Here is a 23,348-nt window from a genome sequence, read left to right as displayed (position 1 = left end):
ACATTGAAGTTTGAGAAGCACTGCTATAAATGTCCCCTCATAAAAAATTTCCCATCAGGTTTATTAACTAATTTATTAAGCCACCCAATATGCCTTTTATTAAATGACTCTTATGTACTGAGTTTCTAAAACAGAAATAAATAAGATACAATGATCACTGTCAGGGAGCCCAAACATCTATCTCCATCTCTATCTCTAAATTAAGCACAAAATGAACTGTATCATTAATTCAGTAAAGACAGAAAAAAAAAACAGGCAAATACTCTGTTAAAGTTAAATAAAAGGGCCCATCAATGATAGACTGGATAAAGAAAATGTAGTACATGTACACCATGGAATATTATGCAGCCATAAAAAAGAATGAGATCATGTCCGTTGCAGGGACATGGATGGAGCCGGAGGTCATTATAATTAGTAAACTAACATAGGAACAGAAAACCAAATACTGCATGTTCTCACTTTTAAGTGGGAGCTAAATGGTGACACATGGACACATAGAAGGGACCAACACACACCGGGGCCTATTGGAGGGTGGAGGGTTGGAGGAGGGAGAGGATCAGGAAAAATAACCAATGGGTAGTAGGCTTAATACCTGGGTAATGAAATAATCTGTACAACAAACCCCCATGACAGAAGTTTACCTATTTAACAAACCTGCACATGTATCCCTAAACTTAAAAGTTTTTTAAAAGTTAAGTAAAAGATAGCGAGGTTTATATCACTTTAGAAAATTGGTAGCCATTGACAAGAGTTAATCTTATTTGCCTCTTTTAGCAAAAGCTCTTCATGAGTTGAAGACATATAGAAGTTTTAATTTTTATCAGTGAACTGGCTTCAAAATTTATGAATTTTGTTCTCACGTAGAGATTTCTTGCCACCAGTGTATTTTAGTGCACTACATATAAATGACCATTTTAAGCAGAAAAAAACTGGAGCAAGGACTTTGAACTCACTAACATTTCTATTAATTAGTTATAAATATGGATAGGTTGAACACGTAACTGAGTTGAGAACCTTCTTAATATTATGACTATTGTTTAATATAATTAACATGTACAAATAGCATACTAGGCATTTTGCAATAACAGAAAATAAAATGAAATCAATGTCCAGAGACTGCACTGTTAAATAAGCAAAGAGAGGTGGTTATTGAGAGCACTCAGCTGGGGCAAGGACCAGCCAGTATAAACTCATGTATGTGGTTGTTATCAATCTGAGACTTAGTATTGGAGACTGAGGATGACCTGAATACTTAAAGCACTGCCTTCTTTAAGAGCTAGCACTAAGGTTATCCTGAAAATAAGAAGTTGAGAACGTGCTCACATTATTTTGCTGATGAAAGTTGCCACAGAATGGTCCAAAAGGCTGTGCACATAACTGGGAAGTAAGTGAGGGGCCGAGTAGAAGGGGATAGAAGGATGGGCAGAAACACAGTAGAGGAGAACTTTGAATGACAAGCTTTAAATTTGTCTTATAGGGCAATGGGGAACCCCATGACATTCTGAAATTGAGGAAGAGAGAAAAATATGAACTTTTTATCCTGTTTATTTTAACCTTGGGCCTCAAAAAATTATGGGATCCTTAAAAAAAAAAAGTCTGCTCAAGAATATGTGGTTTTTACCATTTTTTTTTGAGTGTGGAGCAAGTCTGATTTTTAGCAAGGATTAAGAAATAAACGAGAGAGAAAAAGATCGTAGGTTGTTGGCACAAAGATCAGACAGAAGAAAAGCCCAGACTGCCTCAGCTCGTCCAATGACTTGTGTGGAAACCACTGCAGGATCTGCCCAGAAAGAAAGTGCATCTGAGGGCCAACCACAAGACACCACACAGACACAGGGTAAACAGTCAGAGTAACTGACATGCCATGAACGCACGTGCTCATTGTTCAGGGGATATTTAGGGCACTTATACTCAGACAAATGTGACCTCAACTCTGCATAGATAGGAATGCTCGCATCCAACTCCACATAGTTTCTTGGTCCCTGTCTTCTGGGAATAAGCCCTGGAAGTGATTGTGTGCCTGTGTAGACAAAGAGGTTTGTGTTCATCCTCTTTGATGTTTATCCAGGTTTGTAGCTTCTAGAAACTGAGAGAAACAGATAATCCAGGGAACCATGCTATCCACTTTGGGTAGATTGTTAATATTTAAGGGAGAAATCAGATACAGGTTGTTTCAGTTATTGTTATTTTAACACTTCCGTGTCAAGCTCTGTTGTGTACCTTGGCATAATATTAACCACAATAGAAAAAAAGGAAAAATACCCTCATAGAATCAATATTTTATTTGGTTGGTAGAATACTCATAAAGTTGTTTTTTAAAAGACTAAGAATCTATCAGCAGTAACCCTGCACGTAAACCAGAATTGGTATAAGGAAGATGGACATTTTAGAGATGTGATTGACGGTTTTCAGGCAGAATTAAGGTGATTGTTTAAAAAAATAGCATATGTTGTATTGTTCTGAGATAGCTATAAAATATGTCTTTTAAAATTATATGTTTAAAGATGCCAGCCAAATTTCAGTATAAATAGTGATTTATACTGGTTAAATAGATGTGCTTGGAAAATGGTGAAGAAGAATCTATTTTGTTTACAGACTTCGGATTTAAGGAGTCTTATTAGAAATTAGAGTTACATCTAATGCCATTATACAGGTTTTTTATCATGTCTTTTCAACTCTGATAACCCTAAATATCACATTATTTGATAACCAATTTATGTTGGAGAATATTATTAAGTAATTAAAACCAAAAGCCAAGATCATGAGTTTGCAAATGGAGGGAGGGGGAAATAAAATAATTTTAACTCCCCTAAATAAAGCTATTTCTTCTTTTTAAACTTTGATTTTAGACATTGATGAGTGTTTACAGAATGGCCGGATCTGCAATAATGGACGCTGCATCAACACAGATGGCAGTTTTCATTGCGTGTGTAATGCGGGCTTTCATGTTACACGAGATGGGAAGAACTGTGAAGGTAATAATAGTATACTAATGTTAGTCCTCTCCTTCCATTGCAGTTTCAATATCAGGGGTCTTTAACAAGACCAAATAATGAGTGAAATGTCAAAGTATCAAATATGTTTTATATATTTTATCTCAAAAGGAAGCCTAATTTTCCATGATATTCATTTCTTAATTTACATTTGTGTGAATCAAATAACATTTTAATATGCTAGGAGAGCTTGCCATTTAAAGATCCCTGGTGTGATGAAACTTCTGTGGCACAATTTCATACTTTCTAATTTTTTACAATCAGAATTTGTACATTTTTTAAAAATAGGACACACCTAAGTCTGTGTATTATCTAGCCGTTTATAATCTTTTTGTTTAAAGTGTCTGCCTAGTAATAAAATGCTACTAATCAGTATCTGAAATATATATCTAAAATAGATATAATGTAAAAATACATGTTATGTATATTTTCTATATATGTAATATGTGTATATATATTATGTATATATGTATTTCTGAATATGTAATAGATAATATTCATAAAATACATATTTAAATATAAATAATATATATCTAAAATATAAATAATATATATTTAAAATACATTATATATGTCTAATATATATATTATATATATCTAAAATATGTATATATAATAAATCACTTTGGTCTTTCTAAAGCCTGTAAGTGAAAACACTGTGTCTAAAAGAGCAAGTGCCTCCCAAGACAGCTTTAATATCAAATAAAATAACATAGTGATGAATTTAAAGAACCATCCCCAATGTTTAAGGGATCTTAAAGGTTCACTGCCACAGCTATAATCCATAGTTGAGCCATGTATTCTAAAAGTCCACTTTTTACCTGCCCCTATTTAAAATTGCTTCAAACTACAAGTTATCTTCTGGTTTTCATCTTTAAAAGAATTAGGATGTAGCCTAAATACATTTCAAATTCCACTAATCTTAGTTTTGACTTATGTTCATATTCAGAGCATTAGAAGTAATATGAATCTGTGAAATAAATATACCCACTAGGCTATTAGCACATTTTTCAGTTTGTAAACTATTATTCCTAAAAAGGATCCTGATAACTTCTATGGAGTCAAATTTTATAAATAGATATACCTATACATCTAGCCCTAGAGTTTGCATGCACATGCCAAAACTCAAGAACTTGAGATATGTATTTCATATGTCCCATCTTCTCCTTCCTTAGATGATCTTATTTGGATGAAAGTTAGCCTTAGGCTGTAATAACAAAAAGAAAGAAATACGAAGAAACAGAATTATTTTCATCCAGATTGGTTTCCTTCGTAAGCTTACTCTTCTGGTCATAAGAAAATGTATGTTTTGTATTTTCAGATATGGATGAATGCAGCATAAGGAACATGTGCCTTAATGGAATGTGTATCAATGAAGATGGCAGTTTTAAATGTATTTGCAAACCTGGATTCCAGCTGGCATCAGATGGACGTTATTGCAAAGGTTCGTGCTATAAAACCCTAGATCATGTTCTTCACGTGCCTTTTCTCCTCCTTATGTTGTTTAGAGGTACTACCTTTCTTTACTGATTCTCCCCACTTAAAGTACCTTGAATTTTGGTTTGGGAAACCTGACTGAAACTCCTTCTTAAATCCAGCCATCCAAAGAGCTACAGTTTATGCCCAGAAGACTATTGTTATTTCAGAAAGGGTATTTGAGGTCTTCTCAAAGGAGTCAAAAGCTATGTAGCAAATAAATAATCCAAACTGCCTATTGGTCTTCCAACAGATGTGGGCATTGTTCTCAAGAAGCTGAGTTCTACCTCTTCTTTCCAGTTAGGGAATAATGGTGGTTAGGCTTCTTGGTGGCTGTTATTTGCCACCTCTTACATCTTTACCTGGACAGAATAGTGTAGACTGTTATTTGCAATGATCTCTTCCTCATAATTTCCTCTAGGCATCTTAAGACACAGAAATTTTTTTTAAGGATAATTTATTTCGGCTTTATCAAGTTACATAAGCAAGAAGGGAAACAGGATTAAGCAGAATAAATAAACAACCAAGAACCATTTTTTTAGTTTGGTAAACCATTTTGAAATAATCTCATTGCCCCAGGTATCGAAGCAAAAATGAGGATTTTTATTTTTGCTGTTGAGAATTGGGGTCCTAAGAAAAGTTACTGGAGACAAATTTGTGCTTAGTGTCTCCTGTCTTATGTAGGGATCAGTGATTACTGCACTTGGTCCAGGATCTGAGTTGGAACCAGACTTCTTAAAGAACCTCATACTCAAAGCAGGTCCAGAAAATCTGCTAAAATGCTGCACTTAGAGCTTCTGGGCATAGTTTCAGATGCAGAAGTGTAGAGGGTCAAGCTATTCAAGGTAGAGGAAAGCAGAATAAAGTCCTATGGTGCCTCTTCTCTGTGTGCCCCTAGTGGACAGCTTTGGTAAACGTGTTATGGAAGAAAGCCTTGTATTAAGTCCTTGGCAAGATGTGCATTTTCTCCAGGCTTAAAAGAACTTCAAGCCCTTGGTTGTTTACCTACATTCTCTATGACCTTCACATCAATGGCTCTTAATATTGTGCAAACCTGTCTTCCCAGCAAGAGAAAACAGTTGGGTGTTTCAAATTTGAAGGAGGAAGGTGGTTTCTGTACTTTTGAGCCCTGTGCTAGGAGGAACTTATATGAGAAGACAGGATTAACACATAGAAATATTCTACAGTGTAAAATAGCATAAAACAAAGTGCCAAATTGTGCAAATTTAGCACTGTACAAGTAAAAAAGAAAAGGGAAGAGAATGATTGCTGGAATATTTGGAATTAGGCTTCCAAAAAAAAATAATAGAAAGAGATATGAAAGCCCCTTTGTGAGCAGACCTAGGAGAATACATAATCTTCTTGATGATACACAGAGCACACTAAGATTCACTCTTCATGCCTCTAGGCTCCTGCTGACCCAGGCCACAGCGTCCCAACATTAAGTATGGCCAATAGATAATGCTGTGACCTCATAGATGAAACCAGGTTTGGCAACCATTGGCAACCAGTGAAATAGTATCCTATCAATAAATTGGTTGTTCTATTAATTTGAAAGTGCTGATGATATGGATGGTTTGTTCTGACTTTAGCATTCTGGCTTAAGGATCTGAGAGAGAGAGAGAGAGAGCTCCACAGCTCTGTATTATTATCAATGTCTTATTTTTTTCTAGCTTATAGAGCATAGAGTACACACACTGTAATAAGACTAAAGGATGAAAAAAGAAATTAATCCCATGTATACTGGATTTCTTCCTTTTTATAATTTTTGTCTTTATGCCATAGGGTAAGATTTTCTCCTAGCCCTGAGCACTTAGTTCTGAGCCCACAAAGATGTGACTGTTCAAAGCTGAATCATCAATGCTAATTCAGTCTCCACAGTTAACTCATCTGATCAACAACATGGCTTCTCTGTTCACTCTCTGAAAGTTGAAGCCACTAACTTTGACCAAGGTTACCTCCCTTTGGATCTACCTTACATCTCCGTTCTTATTAAAAACCCTTTGTGTTACCTTTCAGGTTGTAGTCTCCACGTTTTGCTGTGTGTCACAATTTGAATAAAAAGTTGACCAGAATAACTAACCAATTTGAGTTCCTGTATTTAAATATAACTGCTGTTTCAAATACAATCTGTACACAGAACCTTGGACCACCCGAATATATTTTGTGCCAAACAACACAAGCTAAGTAAAACACGAAGGTGTTTTACTCTCAATTTGCCTTTTTAAGGTCAGGAGAAAGTTAATAGTCCCATACACTAGTTGTATATTATAAAAGGAGTTGTTATAAAATCATTTGCTTTTTTCTTTTTCTTTTTTTTTCTAAGACACAGTCTCACTCTGTCTCCCAGGCTGGATGGAGTGCAGTGGCACAATCTCAGCTCACTGCAACCTCTGCTTCCTGGGTTCAAGTAATTCTTGCGCCTCAGCCTCCCAAGTTGCTGGGATTATAGCCGCATGCCATCATGCCCAGCTGATTTTTGTATTTTTAGTAGAGATGGAGTTTCCCCATGTTGGCCAGGCTGATCTTGAACTCCTGGCCTCAAGTGATCTGCCCACCTTAGCCTCCCAAAGTGCTGGGATCACAAGTGTGAGCCACTGCACCTGGCCTAAAATCATTTACTTCTAAGTGTTGTATGTTTTCCAAACCACAATTTTGGTGCCTTTTGTACTTCCCCATATTAAGGGGGGAAAAAACCCTCTGCTATTATTAATATGTGTCCGATAAAGTCTTTTACCAGACCTCCTTAAGTATACACATAAAATACCATAAAGTGTTTGTAAAGTTTAAGAAAGATTTTTCTTTGCTGGGTTCCAACTGCATACAGTGCTGTTATTGGCCAAGAATGGTCATGAAAATAATCTATATTCATTTTCTGTTCTTTTTCTGTGGTGTTCCATCAAGGCTTTAGTTGTATATCCTTTAATTTTAGGCGAATTTTCCCAGAGAGCCAAGACATGGGTGATACTAGAAGTGATGCCAGTCTGGGTGATGAATACCAAAAGGAAAGTCTTCCTGTAGTTTACTATTACCCTAGATTTCTGAGAGCCCTGGAAGAGCTACCCTGGTTATACATTTCACAAAACCCTTTGTCTTTTAGCAGCCATTGTTCTCCTTCCTCTGATTCTGTTTTTGCCTTTGTGATTATTTTGGATACAAAAATCTCTTGGGAGAATATATTAAAGTTACTTTTTATGGAAAATAAGTTCCAACAGTTGATTTCTCTTGATTTTGTTACTGTTCTTTCAAAGGAAAATGAGAATGCCATTTGAGCTTTTGTTGCTGATGCTGCATATTATTTCCTATCTTCCCCATTTTCAAGGGTTAAAACATAATTGTCAACATGTTATAATTTTAGATAAATGTCACTTCATTTTTAATAAGTGCCTTTCTCTGCCACAGACATTAACGAGTGTGAAACCCCTGGGATCTGCATGAATGGGCGTTGCGTCAACACTGATGGCTCCTACAGATGTGAATGCTTCCCTGGACTGGCTGTGGGTCTGGATGGCCGTGTGTGTGTTGGTAAGAAAACATCATGGCTAACCTTATGAGAGAGGTTCAGCCTCTGTCACTCAATAAAGCCCAATGGTAACAAACGCTCTCTACTGTAGCAGATAAGATATAAAGAATATTTGCAGAGCAACAAACCAACAGGGTCAGTTCTCTTTTTGTGTAAATTGAACATTAATTTGAGGATTAGAAAGATGAGCTAAGTGAAAAGCAAGGGAATCCCCACCTATCCTTCCCCCTTTTCTTCCCTAATCCCGTAGCTGTCTTCAGTTTTCTCCAGGCCTCCTTTGTTGATATTGGTCATTGAAATTGATGTGCATATGCTATTATCTCATGATGAACATTTTAATAGAGAATTGATGTCCATGGGCAGTATAGAATGCAAAGGAGAATATGGATAATCCAGAAACCTGTATGATAGTAGTTTTATGAGGCTTTATAAAAAGTATGAGACTTGTTGAAAAATTGATACCAATTTTATCCAGATTATTTTTAAGAAAGGTACTCAGTAAGCCATTTGAATTGGAAAAGGATAGGGCATAGCAGGAGACTGTCTTCCTGGTGGTAAAGATAACACAGCTTAGTTGACCAACATCTACATATTTATATAACGAACCTTTTACAGATTAAACTTTCTCCTTTTTGGAAAGTATACCTAATTCAGACATTCAGTAATTGCGTGTTTATTTTGGGATAGGCCGCATTTCTAATAAAGGTCTTATTTAGCAGGATGTGAGATTCAACATTCATCCATCATTAATTCAACATTTATTAAGTGCCTGCTCTGCACAGGCCCGAGAAAGACAAAATAAGTGAGATATAATTCCAGCATTGAAGGGCCTCACATTTTAGTAAACCATGATACTCCCTAGAAAACTGAAGCAATCTGGCCATTGGTTTCCAGTGCTTAGAAGCTGAACGTGTTTTGTTTTTCTGTTTTTGTTTATTTTTTCTTCAAATGGAGCCCCGATATCAGAGGCATTCCCTGTGAGTTACACCAGGGATGATGGATAAATAAAGCCCTCTTCAACTTTGACTTGGGGGGTTCTCATCTGTTTGAAGTGACAGTGTGATGACAGATGCTTCTTCCTGTTTAGACACACACATGCGGAGCACATGCTATGGTGGATACAAGAGAGGCCAGTGTATCAAACCTTTGTTTGGTGCTGTCACTAAATCTGAATGCTGTTGCGCCAGCACTGAGTATGCATTTGGGGAACCTTGCCAGCCGTGTCCTGCACAGAATTCAGGTATGTGGTATCATGGAGATGCCCTCGTACTGCCAGCCTTCTGCCACCATTGAGGTCTTTGCATTTGTGGAATTCACAGGGAAGATGACATTTTGCTCTCCAGGTACGCCATGTGCCTTCTTGGGGTCTTGGCAGAGGCCAGCCAGTGTCTAGTCACAGGTACTTATCTAAGCCTCATAATTATTTGGAATAGGCATTGCATTTGTGCCTCTCGTATAAACTCTCCTACCTCAATAATACTCAAGCTGTTTGCAATACATGCACCTTGCCTTGTTTTCTAAAGTTGTTTCATGATGTTTGCATTTTGCAGAAACTATTATAAAAGCAGACTTTTACACAGCGTAAAAGTAAATAACTGTCATATTACTTGACTATTTCCACTAGCTTTCCAAAAGGCCATTTGTAAATTTTGTTTACATCCCACGTATTGATTTTGGTGTGGTTTTCTTTTTCTTTCTTCTTCTTCTTCTTCTTTTTTTTTTTTTTTTTTGAGATGGAGTCTCGCCCTGTTGCCCAGGCTGGAGTGCAGTGGCGCGATCTCAGCTCACTGCCACCTCCGCCTCCCGGGTTCAAGTGATTCTCTGCCTCAAACTCCTGAGTAGCTGGGATTACACGTGTGCGCCACCACGCCCGGCTAATTTTTGTATTTTTAGTAGAGACGAGGTTTCACCATATTGGCCAGGCTGGTCTTGAACTCCTGACCTCGTGATCCACCTGCCTCGGCCTCCCAAAGTGCTGGGATTACAGGTGTGAGCCACCGCGCCCGGACCGGTGTGGTTTTCTTTAATGATTTGATTTAACCTGAGAGAAAAAACTATTTTTCTCCAGTTGAAGTGACATGGCCTAATGAAAAGAGAACTGGATAGCGAGTCAGAATTCTCTTCCTCCATCAACAGGCAGCCAAATTACTTAATCAGGGGATTTAGTTATTTGTGTATTTTGCTTATTTCTGAATTTTCCTCACCTACTTTTCAAAAGGATTTGAGGTGGCTTATATTAATAAACATAATTATAAAATAGAATAATGCAGACAAGCTATCCTTAGACACTTCATCTACAAAATGAGTTGCCTTAGATAATCCAAAAGGTCCTGTCCAGTTGTAAATTATTTCTATTTATAAAACAAGAATAGATTACTGAAATTAAAACAATGTTCTGCCAGTATTTAAACACAATTTTAAGGTAGCTTGGCAGTGGACCTCTAATGTCCTAAAATAAAGTTAGACCTAATATTGAAAATATGTAGCTCTGGTTGGTTGTTTTTACATATAGGATTTAGTCAGTTTATTTCTGCCCTAAAGGAAACAAATTAAAGAGTAAATCATAATTTTAAAAGATTTGTTATTTTAAAAATGATAGTATTTGAAAGTAACAGTTGGAAATTAAAATACACTATGAAAAGTTAGAGAAAGTTAAATGGAAGACTTTAAAAGAAATGGGGGGCCAGGCATGGTGCCTCACACCTGTAATCCCAGCACTATGGGAGGCCAAGGCAGGTGTATCACTTGAGGTTAGGAGTTCAAGACCAGCTTGGCTGACATGGTGAAATCTCATCTCTACTAAAAATACAAACGAACAAACAAACAAACAAAAAGTCATGCGTGGTGGTGCGCGCCTATAACCCCAGCTACTCGGGAGGCTGAGGCAGGAGAATCACTTGAATCCAGGAGGTGGAGGTTTCAGTGAGCCAAGATAGCACCACTGTTCTCCAGCGTGGGTGACAGAGCGAGACTCTGTCTCAATAAAGAAAGAAAAAGGAAATGAGGGATGCCTATTTAAAGAAAAAAACTGCTCTGGCTAATGACTTCACCCGGTGAATAATATAGAAATTATCATTTTATGTATGATCACCAATCAGTTCAATATGTGTTTATAATACTTTTATTATATACAAATACCATTCTGTTGAAGACATTTGCCTATAACTTTATAGTTGTATATTATTAATATCATCCTTTTGTGTGTTACTTTAACTTTTCAAAGTACTTTACTTACCTACTTTGAATTTGCAATACAGACAAGTATCATGAAAGCTGGCACACAAGAGTACAGGTGACTTGTTCACATGTTGAATGATTGGAAGAGCCAAGATTTAGAATCCAGGAACCTTGGTGCATATAGTTATTTGCCTTTGTATTTTCCTCTGGACCAAGTGCACTTCCAAAGAATTCTTAAAATCCACAGGGAAATTATGTGGGTTTATAAAAAGGTGACCAAAAGACCAGATTTCTTTAAGCAGTTGTCTTAGTCCAGTTTTTGTTGCAGTAACAGAAAACCACAGATTGAGTAATTTATAAAGAAAATGCATTAATTTCTCCCAGTTCTGGAGCCTGGGAAGTCCAATATCAAGGTGCCAGCATCTGTGGGGGGCCTTCTTGCCAAGTCACTTCACAGCTGAAAGTGGAAGGGCAACAGAGCATGCAGGAGTGAGAGAAAGCTAGAGAGGACTGAATGTGCTTTTATAACAAAGTCACTCTCATGATAACTAACTCACTCCCATAATAATGACATTAATCCATTCATGAGGGTAGAGCCTTCACGACCTAATCACCTCTTATTAGGCCTCACCTCCCAGCATTACTATTGAATTGGGGATGAAGTTTCCAGCACATGAACTTTGGAGGACACATTCAAACCAAAGCAACAGTAAAGCTTAAAGAGAGTTAAATGTAAGGCCCGGTTCCACTAACTTTTGTCTTATATTTGAATGAATTTACCCAAAAAAGGGTCCACACATGGAAGTAGTTTCATTCATTTGGTTTCTCCACCTCTTTGGTCATGAACCATCCGAATGTAGGATATCCCTCATTTCAAGAATGGGGGGTAGGCTGTTTAAAGTACTGAAAATATTCAAAAGGAATGTCTTCAGTCAGTTGAGGGAGAGACTCCAAATATACAAAATCTGAAGTTCATCTTTGTGGTCTGCAAGTCAGGCAAGCTACATATGAAGCTGTTTCTCACTGGTTGCTGGAGCTGATTCACATTGTTCAGCAAGCCCTCTTGTGTCCTCAGCCTTCTGACAATGACATTTCACAGACATGGATCAGTTAAACCCACGGGAGTGTAATTGGTCAGTTAAACCCACAGGAGGGTAATTCGGGGGGATTTTCTCATGGATCCCTCATGTCACTGTCTCCATGGCACTACGCGGAGTTAGCTCATCAACACCTACCCCTCACTATGTGTTTATAATACTTTTATTTACTTATTTTTTTATTCAGGGCCTGAGCTGTGCACAGTACACGTTCAATCATTAAACATGTAATGTTAATTCTGTACAGCCACCAGGTGAAATGGGAGTTGTCATTCCAAATTTATGGGAGAAGAAACTAACAGAGGAAAAGGGCTGCTTCCAAAACTCCCAGCAATTAGCGTTGTCATCGGTATTAAAACCCATGCTTATTTGAACTCACTACAAAAAATGGTCTAGTACCAGATCCTGCCTAAATGGAAAACAATGGTGACAATAATTTGCTTCCATTTAGGCCAAACATCAGCAAAATTGTCATTATCTCTAAAAGTCCTTTTTATAAAACTGGTATGATTTTGGTTTTCTTGTTTTATTACTTACAGTATTTCATGCATATTTTAGCTTTTTGCTGATACAGCAGAATAAAAAAGATGAATTTCTTTTTGTTCCCACACCTGGCTTTCAAACACACCTTCCCATCTGTTGTTTTTTTGACCCCTTCTAAGATGGTTTGAAAATTAAATCATCACTGCTTTCTCAAATTCACATTTGTTAGAAGACATGATAATCTTTGGTTGTATAACTCATTTACCTCCAATGTCATCAGGATGCAATTCTCTGGCATGCAGGGGATAGGAACTATTTGCTTCAGCAGTGAGGTGCAGTCAGCCTCTACAATAAGCCCCAGCCCTGATATCCAGTTCTCCTTCCACTTAAGCACAGATGATTTACATATGACCATGAGACTGTGTTTGCCAGAAACCATTGGCAACTTAAGGGGACACTAGTTTCCTTTCCTTGGATAGTGTGATTCCAGTTAGTTCTACATTTTCATCATTCACTCTTATGTTAAGTATTGTTGGAATTGTATATAAAACATGGTATTAATTTTAAGAAATAGAAATTTGATTCTATCTCAAATTTGGGGACATATTCTTTATACTTCAGTTTTTTCAATATGATCTCACAGTTTTAACATTAAGCAATACTTTCTCTATGGATATACCATAGAGAATGAATCCAGTATCCTGATACATATTAACTTTAAAAATACACTTAAATGCAAGAGTAGGTATTCTGTTGTTGCTCTTGTGAGAGGAGGCTAGAGAATTTGCAGAGAGAAATGAGGAAATGTTAAGAACCAATTGTACTGAAAAAACAGCTAGCACTGAGAAACAAAATTATCCCCAAGATGGTGGGAGAAAGTTTTATTAACAGTTAAGAAACCACATTTTAACAGGCACATTTCACCGTAAGTGTAAAGTGTTCCCTGGTGAACAAAATCAAGTTATAGGAAAAACACCTTTTCCGAAAGGGCTTTGCACAAGGAATTGCTATAACTTGCCTGTATCCTTAAAAGTTGTTTTCCTTGATGATGTGTAGCCTTTAAAATGGGAGCCTGGTGTAAAGGTGACTCCCTGGGGAGATACCTCCTTTTCCGTTACCACTTAAGTTTGGTTCTACTCACTTTGGAGGAAATGATGTGTGCAAAACCAAGGGCAGGATCTACCTGTTCTGCAAACAAGGGAATCATTTACTATCTGTTAATTTATTGCAGCGGAATATCAGGCACTCTGCAGCAGTGGGCCAGGAATGACGTCAGCAGGCAGTGGTAAGGATTCCTTTCAAAATTTACTACCTTCAGTATGTGCAGAGGCAGCATCAGGCTTTCTTGTGGGTTTCCAGTTGATCCCTTTACACTAGTCTGGCCTGACTCCCTCTCTGGCCATCACTGTGCCATGTATCTGGGATGCTCAGAAGCCTTCAGTGGCAGAGCAGCCGGGGCACTGTGGGCTCTAGGATTTCTGGGTGTGGCTGTGGGACTTGGCCACTGAGGGGGTCAGGTGCTCTCTCAGTGTGGTTGATGGGTGCTCGCAGATGATGTGTAATGACTTTTGTTGCTCATGCTTGAGAAGGGGCAGCCTGACTCTCTTGTGGATCTTCCACTATCAAGTACCACTCGGGATGATGGGCTAGTTGAACCATTCTCCATCTGCATTCTGAAGGATTCTGAACTGTTAAGTGCTCAGTATTATAAAATGGCAATAGAGAGCAGTGACAACAATTAACTGAGTTAAAAGAGAATGAAATATTTAGCTAGAGAAATATTGGTGCCATGCAAGGAATTAAAGTTAAAAAGGAGAATTGGAACAAGTATGACAATAGGTGACAAGAAAGAGGAAGGGATTATTTTATTAATATAAAGCTACATAGTTTGATTCAGGGAGATCTGAAAGAACATGGACTGGCTGAATTGATTGTCAGTTCATTCAGTATGATTAGTTTCATCATTGTGCGTGAATGAAAATGTGGAGGGGATATTTAGAGGAGGAAAGAGGAGAGGTAAGGAAACTTATAACGAATAAGGAGTTAATGGGGAATAAGTAAGTTGTGATAGGGACTTGGAAGAAAAAAAAAAAGTCAACCCTAATTTATAGAAGAGTCAGGCACCAGGATTTGAGACTATCCATTCACTGGTTGTCATTCTGCACCTGCCTTGACTATGAGATTCCCTCCTCAGTTGTGAGGGTACAGAAGAGGGAGGGCCCCACCTCAGGTGGGCAGAGCAACGGAGGCTTTTTCAGAGCATGTGGTGTTGGAGCTGGCTTTTGACCTGTAAATAGGCCTGCTCCAAGCATTCCTGACACAGAGTGAAGAGGGCATTATATGTTCATAGAAGAGTGTGAAGTCTGGGATAAGTAAACAAAGAATTTATATTTTAGTTTTATCTTGAGGATATTGTTGAACCTATGAAAGTTTGAACCATGAGAACGATATAATACCTTGTTTTTAGGATGGTAAGAATGGTTGCAGTGTAGAGTAGTGCAGGGTAGATGGAAGAAAGAGGGGCTGGTGGTAGGGAGACCAGTTGTCGGGACTTGGGATCTGCTGTCGATCCATTTTTCCATCTTGGTGCTTGGACTAGGAGAAGTCCAGGAGGTCTCCTTCAGCTTGATTAAGGATTGGTTATCTTGTAGTTCCAGCTGAGATGCAAAGTTCCTCTCAGGAACTTGTGGGAGAAAGATTGGACTCAGAATATCTTACAGTGAGAAAAAGAGACAGAGTGTTCTCTTTCCAGTGAAATCGATTTTTTTCCTCCTGTAGCTCCTAAGGTCATTACATTTATTGTAGTGTTATATTTTTAACAATTCATTCAGTATTTATTTTATAATCTTAATTGATTTTGACCTTTTTTGTGGTGCAGATATAAATGAATGTGCACTAGATCCTGATATTTGCCCAAATGGAATCTGTGAAAACCTTCGTGGGACCTATAAATGTATATGCAATTCAGGATATGAAGTGGATTCAACTGGGAAAAACTGCGTTGGTGAGAAGTTTTACCCATTTTCTGAAACATTGCCTGCATAATGCATTCCTTCTTTCATTGCTGGGAGAAAACTGCCTTTGAGTAGCTTAGAGGACTGGGCAAATGGACACTTTATACTTCGGATGTTAGCACAGCATATACATATCTTTAGTAACAAAAATTTACATCACTGAATCTTCACAGTTTATGAATAACGATGTATCAGATTCACTCCTTGAAATGATTTGCTCCTTAAAATAATGATGTATCAGATTTCACTCCTTCAAAGAGAAGCTCCTTAGATATAAGATGCAGAGATTCTGAGCCATTCTCATGTGACTACAAAGTCAACCTTGATTTTACTGAGAGAGAAGCAGCTCTTCTCCCAACCATTTATTAGACTTAATCAGAAAAAAACACAGCTTATTTTCAGGAATACCTGCTCTCTTAAAGTTGGGTTTTGCTTCAGACAGGCATATTATTCAGCTAAAAGCAAGCAGTTTTCCTGAGGTCCCTGAATCATGAAGCTAAATTCCCCATGACAATCATAAATGCTACAGATTACTTTGTACTTTATAATCATACCTGGAGACAATTTGAATTATTATAAGGAAGAAACACCCATTCTGGAACTAACACATTTCAAAGTTGGACCATACTTTCTAAATATTTATTTAGTTCCTTAAATCAATAAGGTTAATCCTTTTAATTCGACAAAATGAATTAAATTATATAAATTTAATTATATAATGTAACTCTATAAAGATTAATGATTTCCAGCAAATCTGTATTTTCTTCCTGCTAAAGAAATAAGTGAATTAAATAGCCTAGTGACTTTAGGCTTTGTAGATATTTAGTTTAGATACTTAGTTTAAAACCAGGTCAAGCCTCTGTTTTCCTAAAATGAGATAGTTTAGGTAAAAGCTAATGCTACAGGAGTTTTGCCTTTTTGCTTGAATTGATCACGTCGTTATGACTTTAAAGATCTAATGTAAAAGAGCAAAGTAGATACAGGCAAAGTTTGGGCCCTTTTTAAGTGTTTATTTTCATTGACTTTGCAGATATTAATGAATGTGTACTGAACAGTCTCCTTTGTGACAATGGACAATGTAGAAATACTCCTGGAAGTTTTGTCTGTACCTGCCCCAAGGGATTTATCTACAAACCTGATCTAAAAACATGTGAAGGTAAACCATATTTTTGTTCTTATACTGTGTACTTTGCTATCTTTTGGAATGCCATTAGAAAACCATAAGACTGAATTAGAGTCTCCTGTATTTTAGACAGTTATGCCAGTTTAGTTGAAATTCTGTGGTTCTACATGGCACTAGTATGTACTTTGTAAGCCACTTATGGTATTTACTTGTAATTGGCATTTTAATTGCCATCATTTAATAGATAAAGAAAATGTTATGTGTCTGCTATTTGAGCTATTCATTCAGAAATCACATACACATTTACTCCAGATTTTCTAAATAAAAAGATTCAGCCAAGTCCCGTATTCTATACTATAGAGATGTACTAGTCTATACTATAGAGTTATTATTTTGGCATTCCATCTAGTGTAGGAAAAACTATTTAGCCCAGCTTTACTGTGTGGGATTAAGGATATGTAGTAGCAATTGGGGTCAAAGTTGAAGTACTCTTTTAGGCCCAAGACTAGATTTTAGCAGTAATGTAGACCTGTTTTTGTTTCAGACATTGATGAATGCGAATCAAGTCCTTGCATTAATGGAGTCTGCAAGAACAGCCCAGGCTCTTTTATTTGTGAATGTTCTTCTGAAAGTACTTTGGATCCAACAAAAACCATCTGCATAGGTATTTATCTTTCTGAGAATGATTTTTCTATGTTTATCAATGTTGTTATACTTAATGTCAGCTTTTCCTGCAAAAGAATTTAAGTATGGATGAACAATATTAAAAACTTCATTATTCCTTGTTTCAAATGCTATTTTTGTCTATAATTCCAAGGTGTATGTTTGAATTTTTATATAGATTCTATTAAATATTATTCCCTCCTCTGCAGAAACCATCAAGGGCACTTGCTGGCAGACTGTCATTGATGGGCGATGTGAGATCAACATCAATGGAGCCACCTTAAAGTCCCAGTGCTGCTCCTCCCTCGGTGCTGCGTGGGGAAGCCCGTGCACCCTATGCCAAGTTGGTAAGAGAAACCCATGCTGTGGTTCCTATACCACTCCAATGGTCTTTGCATAAAAAGGGGAAGCCTAGTATTTCATTTATCTAGGCTCACATGAGAATTTTCAAAGATTTAATCCTGATGGCCCCGAACATATTGCTGAATGGGAAATAAGAAGTGTCAAATTTTATGTGATTTTGTTCATTTATTATTTTCTATCTTCACATTGTAATGTGGTTAGTTTGTGTTGCTTCCCTGGAGCACCAGTGCCTGCCAGCTCTCTTGGGAACCTTGTGGTTAGGGGTTCTGAGCTTTTTATAGGTACAGATTATCTTTCAAAAAGCTAATTGATGTAAAGAAACCGGTATTCATGACTAAACTTCATAAGGGTTTCTGGTGAACTTCTAAATCTGTTGGGAACTTGAGGTTTGAGAACCTTGCTCATGGTTTTGCTGATTTAATGTTTAAATATATAAATGTGTAAATTTATGTGAATGCTGGAGGCCATGAGATCTCCAAATTATAGACTTGAGTTTTCTATATTCAGGTTAAAGTAATTCTATAGTGTGATTCCTATTTTCAGGTGAACAGCAAGAGAGAAAGCTACCTTCAGTTTCCCTCTTAGCTATCACTTTAACATGATCTATAGGGCACGTCTGTGTCTTTTGGAGTATCTTAGTGGAATTGAGCTTTATTTGAGGAGACATTTCATTACTGTTCTTCCTCACCTATGCAATCGCAGAAACATTTTGTTATCTCATACTTATAGCAACACAATCTACTTCATGTTCCAGGTCATCTTTCATGTTTCTTACACTATGTCAGAACTGCAAAGTCTGGATATTGTTATCTCAAATTTGTTTTCTGTTTTGTTTTTCGCTTTTTATTACAGATCCCATATGTGGTAAAGGGTACTCAAGAATTAAAGGAACACAATGTGAAGGTATTTCTGATTACTTATAAACCATACATTTTTGTGTGCATAATGAATGTTTGTGTTAACTCGGACTGGATAAAGCTGTCATATAACTTCACAGGGAGAAATATGCAGCAGAGAAAAAAAATAATGAGAACTACAAAACGGAACAGCTGTTAATTTCACAAGCATATATATACTGTTGCTAGTGTCAGAACGCTATGTCCAAAGGACAGGGTGGGTGGCTGAAAATGTTTTAGGTTGATCGCAGTTTAGAGAGACTGCACTTTCAAAATGCTATCAGGAAGAGAAAAACAGGAAGTTTTTGATGAGTCTGTAAAATTTGCCTTTCTTTGGTTTGTCCTGGCATTTTTTATTTGTTTGTTTCACAGTCATGGGTGATTTAGAAGGACACATTCTGTTTTCTCTTTGTTGAAAGTCTGCATGGAGTTTCTTCAGTTTGCTGTGATTCTTTCTCCTGGAGTTTCAGATAGACATAGGTCATGGTGACTAACACAACCTGACATGACACAGCAGCTGAAAAATTTTAAAAACAGCAATTAGTCCCATATGTGGGATGAAATGAAGTTTTTTCCCTGTTAAAACAAAGAGGCACACTACAACCCCCACCCAAGGTCTTGCTTTCCAAATGATGACTGAATCCTTTGGCCTTTCTCTGGTCCAGACCCGCTGTTAATAACTTATCTGACCTCAGCAGCATATTTTGTTGTACAAGTGGCCAAAACAAAACAAAAAACCCAAAAAGGTAGATTCCACCCTCTCCCCATTGATCTCTCTTACAAGGAAAGATTCAGAATATTTTTTCAACATTCCTGTTGTGGAAAGTTATTTCTTCTAAATAGAGACACAGTGTGTATGAGTTTCTTAGCTAATGTTCCCCCCTCTTTTTTTTTTGGCATTGGCAAGTAAGTGCCTTTCTTTTGATTAACTTGGTGGTGAATACTTTTCCAAATTAAGTGCAGAGAACATATTGCTCTCCATTAGGCAAACTGGGAAGGACTGGTACATTTGAGAGAGATTGGATGAATGATGAATGAATGAACATGAGTATCTTTTAATTCCCCTCAACCCAAGCTGAGACCAAAGCATGGACAGAACAGCCTGAGACCATGGCTGAGTTAGAATTGATTGTACATTTTCTGGTGATTTATCAGAACTTCTTAAAAGAGACCCTTCACTGGCCCACATATTCCTTGGTGGGATATTTTTCTATGCTGAACTTCAAGCTGTTTCTTCTTTGCTAGTTTGAAAAACCAGGTTTTTGCTTCTCTACTCATTTCCAGACATCTGGTCTCATAAAGCAAATTATATTGCTGGGAACCTTACCTGAAATGTCCGCAGCTACCAGAGCTGTCTCCAAGAACTCACACCAGCTGCCTGTCTCTACAACTCAAAAGTTATTCCCTGAAACCAATGGAGAAACTCTTACATATTTAGTAATAGGTGGGCTCGTTCTGGTTGCTATTCAGGCACCCTAGAAATTCTACACAAACTACTTGTAGGCAAACTAGTTTTATGAACTTACCAGGTTCAAAATGGGGAATAATTATGACTCTATGAGTAGAATAAGGTAGAATGATATTATAAAGATATATTAACTTTATACTTTTTTTTTCTTTTTAGATATAGATGAATGTGAAGTGTTCCCAGGAGTGTGTAAAAATGGCCTGTGTGTTAACACTAGGGGGTCATTCAAGTGTCAGTGTCCCAGTGGAATGACTTTGGATGCCACAGGAAGGATCTGTCTTGGTAAATACTGAGCTCATTATTTTTCTAATAATAATTTATTAACGATTATTAAAAATGAAGTTAACAAGATATAGCTGAGCACTTAGCTTCAGGTACAGACACACACTCCAAAATTCAGCATGTCCGATAGGGTCCATGGCCACTCCTTTGACAGTCTTTCAAATAGTAAGCAGCAACTGTAGTTTCTGTTGATATGCAACTATTCCTTAAATCACTAGCATCACAGTTATTTTTCCAGAGCTCTTAAATCGGCCCCATATGCCGTGAACTATAAAATACAAGCTGAGTGGTGGAGAAAAGAACAATATTTGCACATATTTGGAAACTGTAGCCCATGTCTTCTAAGCATACCCTGACATTGGCCAGAAGGACAGGTCCTTGCAAAAACACCTGTGGAGATCAGGAGTGAAGATGCCACTCCCCTGAAAAGTGAACCTGAGAAAGCTCAGCCCAGGGTAGGTATCACTGCTAGTCATAGTGGGATATTCTGTGCCAACTGCTAGAGCCCAAATGGGATCCTCTAGCCAAATTGTCTCACCCCAACCCTAAGTCCTTAGAACTCTAAGTCCTAAGTCCCTATGGGCTCGTGATAGTGGCAAGTTTGAGATCGCACATCTCATGCATCTAAGGTCTGGCAGACTTATTCTGGTGTTACTACTATGGCTTCTGCCTGCCTAGAGTATATCCCTTGGATCACTGGTTTCTGAGTTCATGACTCTGGAAATGATGCTTACCTGTACTTTGCATCTGAAACCACATTACTTTGAAGTGTAGGCTCAGTGAAGACTATTGTAGGTAGTTAAAAAAGTGGGCCGGGTGCGATGGCTCACGCCTGTAATCCCAGCACTTCGGGAGGCCGAGGCAGGTGGATCACGAGGTCAGGAGATCGAGACCATCTTTGCTAACATGGTGAAACCCCGTTTCTACTAAAAATACAAAAAAAGTAGCCAGGCACGGTGGCGGGCACCTGTAATCCCAGCTACTCGGGAGGCTGAGGCAGGAGAATGGCATGAACCCGGGAGTTGGAGCTTGCAGTGAGCCGAGATAGTGCCACTGCAGTCCGGCCTAGGCAAAAGAGTGAGACTCCGTCTCTAAAAAAAAAAAAAGAAAAGAAAAAGAAAAAGAAAGTGGTATACAGTGAAGGATTTTGATCACTTACGAATTAGAATTAACAAACCTTTAAATATTGAACTTTATAGTTTATAGTGTAAATAAATAATATGGAATGGAACCGGGAATTCAAAGCCAAAAGTATTTTTGTAATTAAGGATGTCAGTTAATGCTATTCTGAGTCTTAGTTTATTTGTTTAGGAAGAATCAGTATTTAATGAGAATCTTCTTCTAGGTTCTTCAGTTGAAAGATGCTTCAGTGTTTAATTTAGGATTCACTTAAAAATAATTTATCTTAATATGGGCAGTCTGAATATAAAGCTGAATATAAAGACTTCAAAAACTTTCTAACGTTAGAGGAAACCCAGGGAGTTAGATATATTGTTAATGACCCCATTGTGAAGGAGAAAGAGAAGGAAGATACATCTTACATTTCAATTACACTTCATTATTTTCAGATGCATAATCTCAGTTGAGCTTCACAGAACCTTCTGAGAGATGAGTGCAACATCCTGTAACAGATGTGGAAATTCAGGTTTAGGATAATTTATTGAAGACAATCCACTGAGTTACAGAAGAGGACCAAAATCCAGCTCTTCTGACCTCTGCTCTGCTAGGCTTTCTGCTCTTCTTTATAATCCCATGAATTTGGGTTTGGGGCTAGAGGTATCCCACAAGTACCTTGAAGAATGTGCCCTTAAGCACGTGTTTAGGTGAAAGAAATATTTGAGAAGTAAAGTGAATGGCTTTTCTTTGCATTTTTCTCTTTAATCTCAAGTAAAGCAGTCCTCTTTCCAGAGTTCATCATTCCACCTTTCCAAAAATGAAGTGGGTCGGAGGAAAAGGTGATTGCACTAGGGCAGACACGCTCCAACAATAAAGAGTACAGTTGGCTTTTAGCTGTGGAGGACATGCCAAGACATCATGGCATGCACGCATCGGTGATAGGTATTTCTGTACAGGAGAAAAACATCTCCCGAAAGAACACTGTGGGATCTCTCAGAATACCATTCCTTATGTAGAATTATCAGATGTTGAAAGGGAACTTTTCAGAAGTAGGAGGTGCAAACATGGGCTGACAAAGAGAGTCTTTATTAGGCAAGGATACTTACCCCAGAGCCTGGGGTTTTTTTTGAGGAATAAAACTAATTCCAGTCAATAAGTATACAGCAAATTATTATGTGTGCAGTATTTTACCTAACAGAGTGTTGGCAGTTTGGGGCAGTGGAAGCCGTGTGGCTCTATTTAACCTCCCTTGATTCCCTCTGACAGATATCCGCCTGGAAACCTGCTTCCTGAGGTACGAGGACGAGGAGTGCACCCTGCCTATTGCTGGCCGCCACCGCATGGACGCCTGCTGCTGCTCCGTCGGGGCAGCCTGGGGTACTGAGGAATGCGAGGAGTGTCCCATGAGAAATACTCCTGAGTACGAGGAGCTGTGTCCGAGAGGACCCGGATTTGCCACAAAAGAAATTACAAATGGAAAGCCTTTCTTCAAAGGTACAATGTTACGTTTTCCATGGCCAATTGCCTCCCTTTTTAGACAAATAGGATGCATTTTCATGATCTCAGCACTCTACTTGATCATCCCAGCATGGACTTTTTGCTTTCTGAATTATATAATTATCTTTGTTTAGAAAAGTATGAACTTTTTGTTTTTAACTGTTTGGTCCAAGAAGT

The 23,348-nt window shown here is 37.8% G+C and overlaps 1 protein-coding gene across 2 annotated transcripts in view, besides 1 other annotated feature; it reads left to right on the top strand.

Annotated features, from left to right (window-relative positions):
• FBN1 (fibrillin 1) overlaps positions 1 to 23,348 on the top strand; it is a 237,397-nt gene that overhangs the window by 132,691 nt on the left and 81,358 nt on the right. For both annotated transcript variants that reach the window (NM_000138.5, NM_001406716.1), the window contains 12 exons: positions 2,850 to 2,975; positions 4,315 to 4,437; positions 7,872 to 7,994; positions 9,080 to 9,232; positions 13,981 to 14,034; positions 15,628 to 15,753; positions 16,794 to 16,919; positions 17,431 to 17,550; positions 17,759 to 17,896; positions 18,765 to 18,815; positions 20,433 to 20,558; positions 22,941 to 23,168. In NM_000138.5, the coding sequence (NP_000129.3) occupies positions 2,850 to 2,975; positions 4,315 to 4,437; positions 7,872 to 7,994; positions 9,080 to 9,232; positions 13,981 to 14,034; positions 15,628 to 15,753; positions 16,794 to 16,919; positions 17,431 to 17,550; positions 17,759 to 17,896; positions 18,765 to 18,815; positions 20,433 to 20,558; positions 22,941 to 23,168 (1,494 nt within the window). The remainder of the gene's footprint in view (positions 1 to 2,849; positions 2,976 to 4,314; positions 4,438 to 7,871; positions 7,995 to 9,079; positions 9,233 to 13,980; positions 14,035 to 15,627; positions 15,754 to 16,793; positions 16,920 to 17,430; positions 17,551 to 17,758; positions 17,897 to 18,764; positions 18,816 to 20,432; positions 20,559 to 22,940; positions 23,169 to 23,348) is intronic.
• Positions 5,253 to 5,547: a silencer, noted in NCBI's record as "tiled region #3576; HepG2 Repressive DNase matched - State 12:CtcfO". NCBI's record gives its function as "represses a minimal TATA promoter and a strong SV40 promoter by Sharpr-MPRA in HepG2 cells {active_cell/tissue: HepG2}" and the evidence as "EXISTENCE:reporter gene assay evidence [ECO:0000049][PMID:27701403]".

Source organism: Homo sapiens, chromosome 15 (assembly GCF_000001405.40).
Source record: "Homo sapiens chromosome 15, GRCh38.p14 Primary Assembly".
NCBI classification, from domain to species: Eukaryota; Metazoa; Chordata; class Mammalia; order Primates; family Hominidae; genus Homo; species Homo sapiens.
Note: the sequence above shows the minus strand (reverse complement) of the source record. Positions and strands in the feature narration are given on the sequence as shown.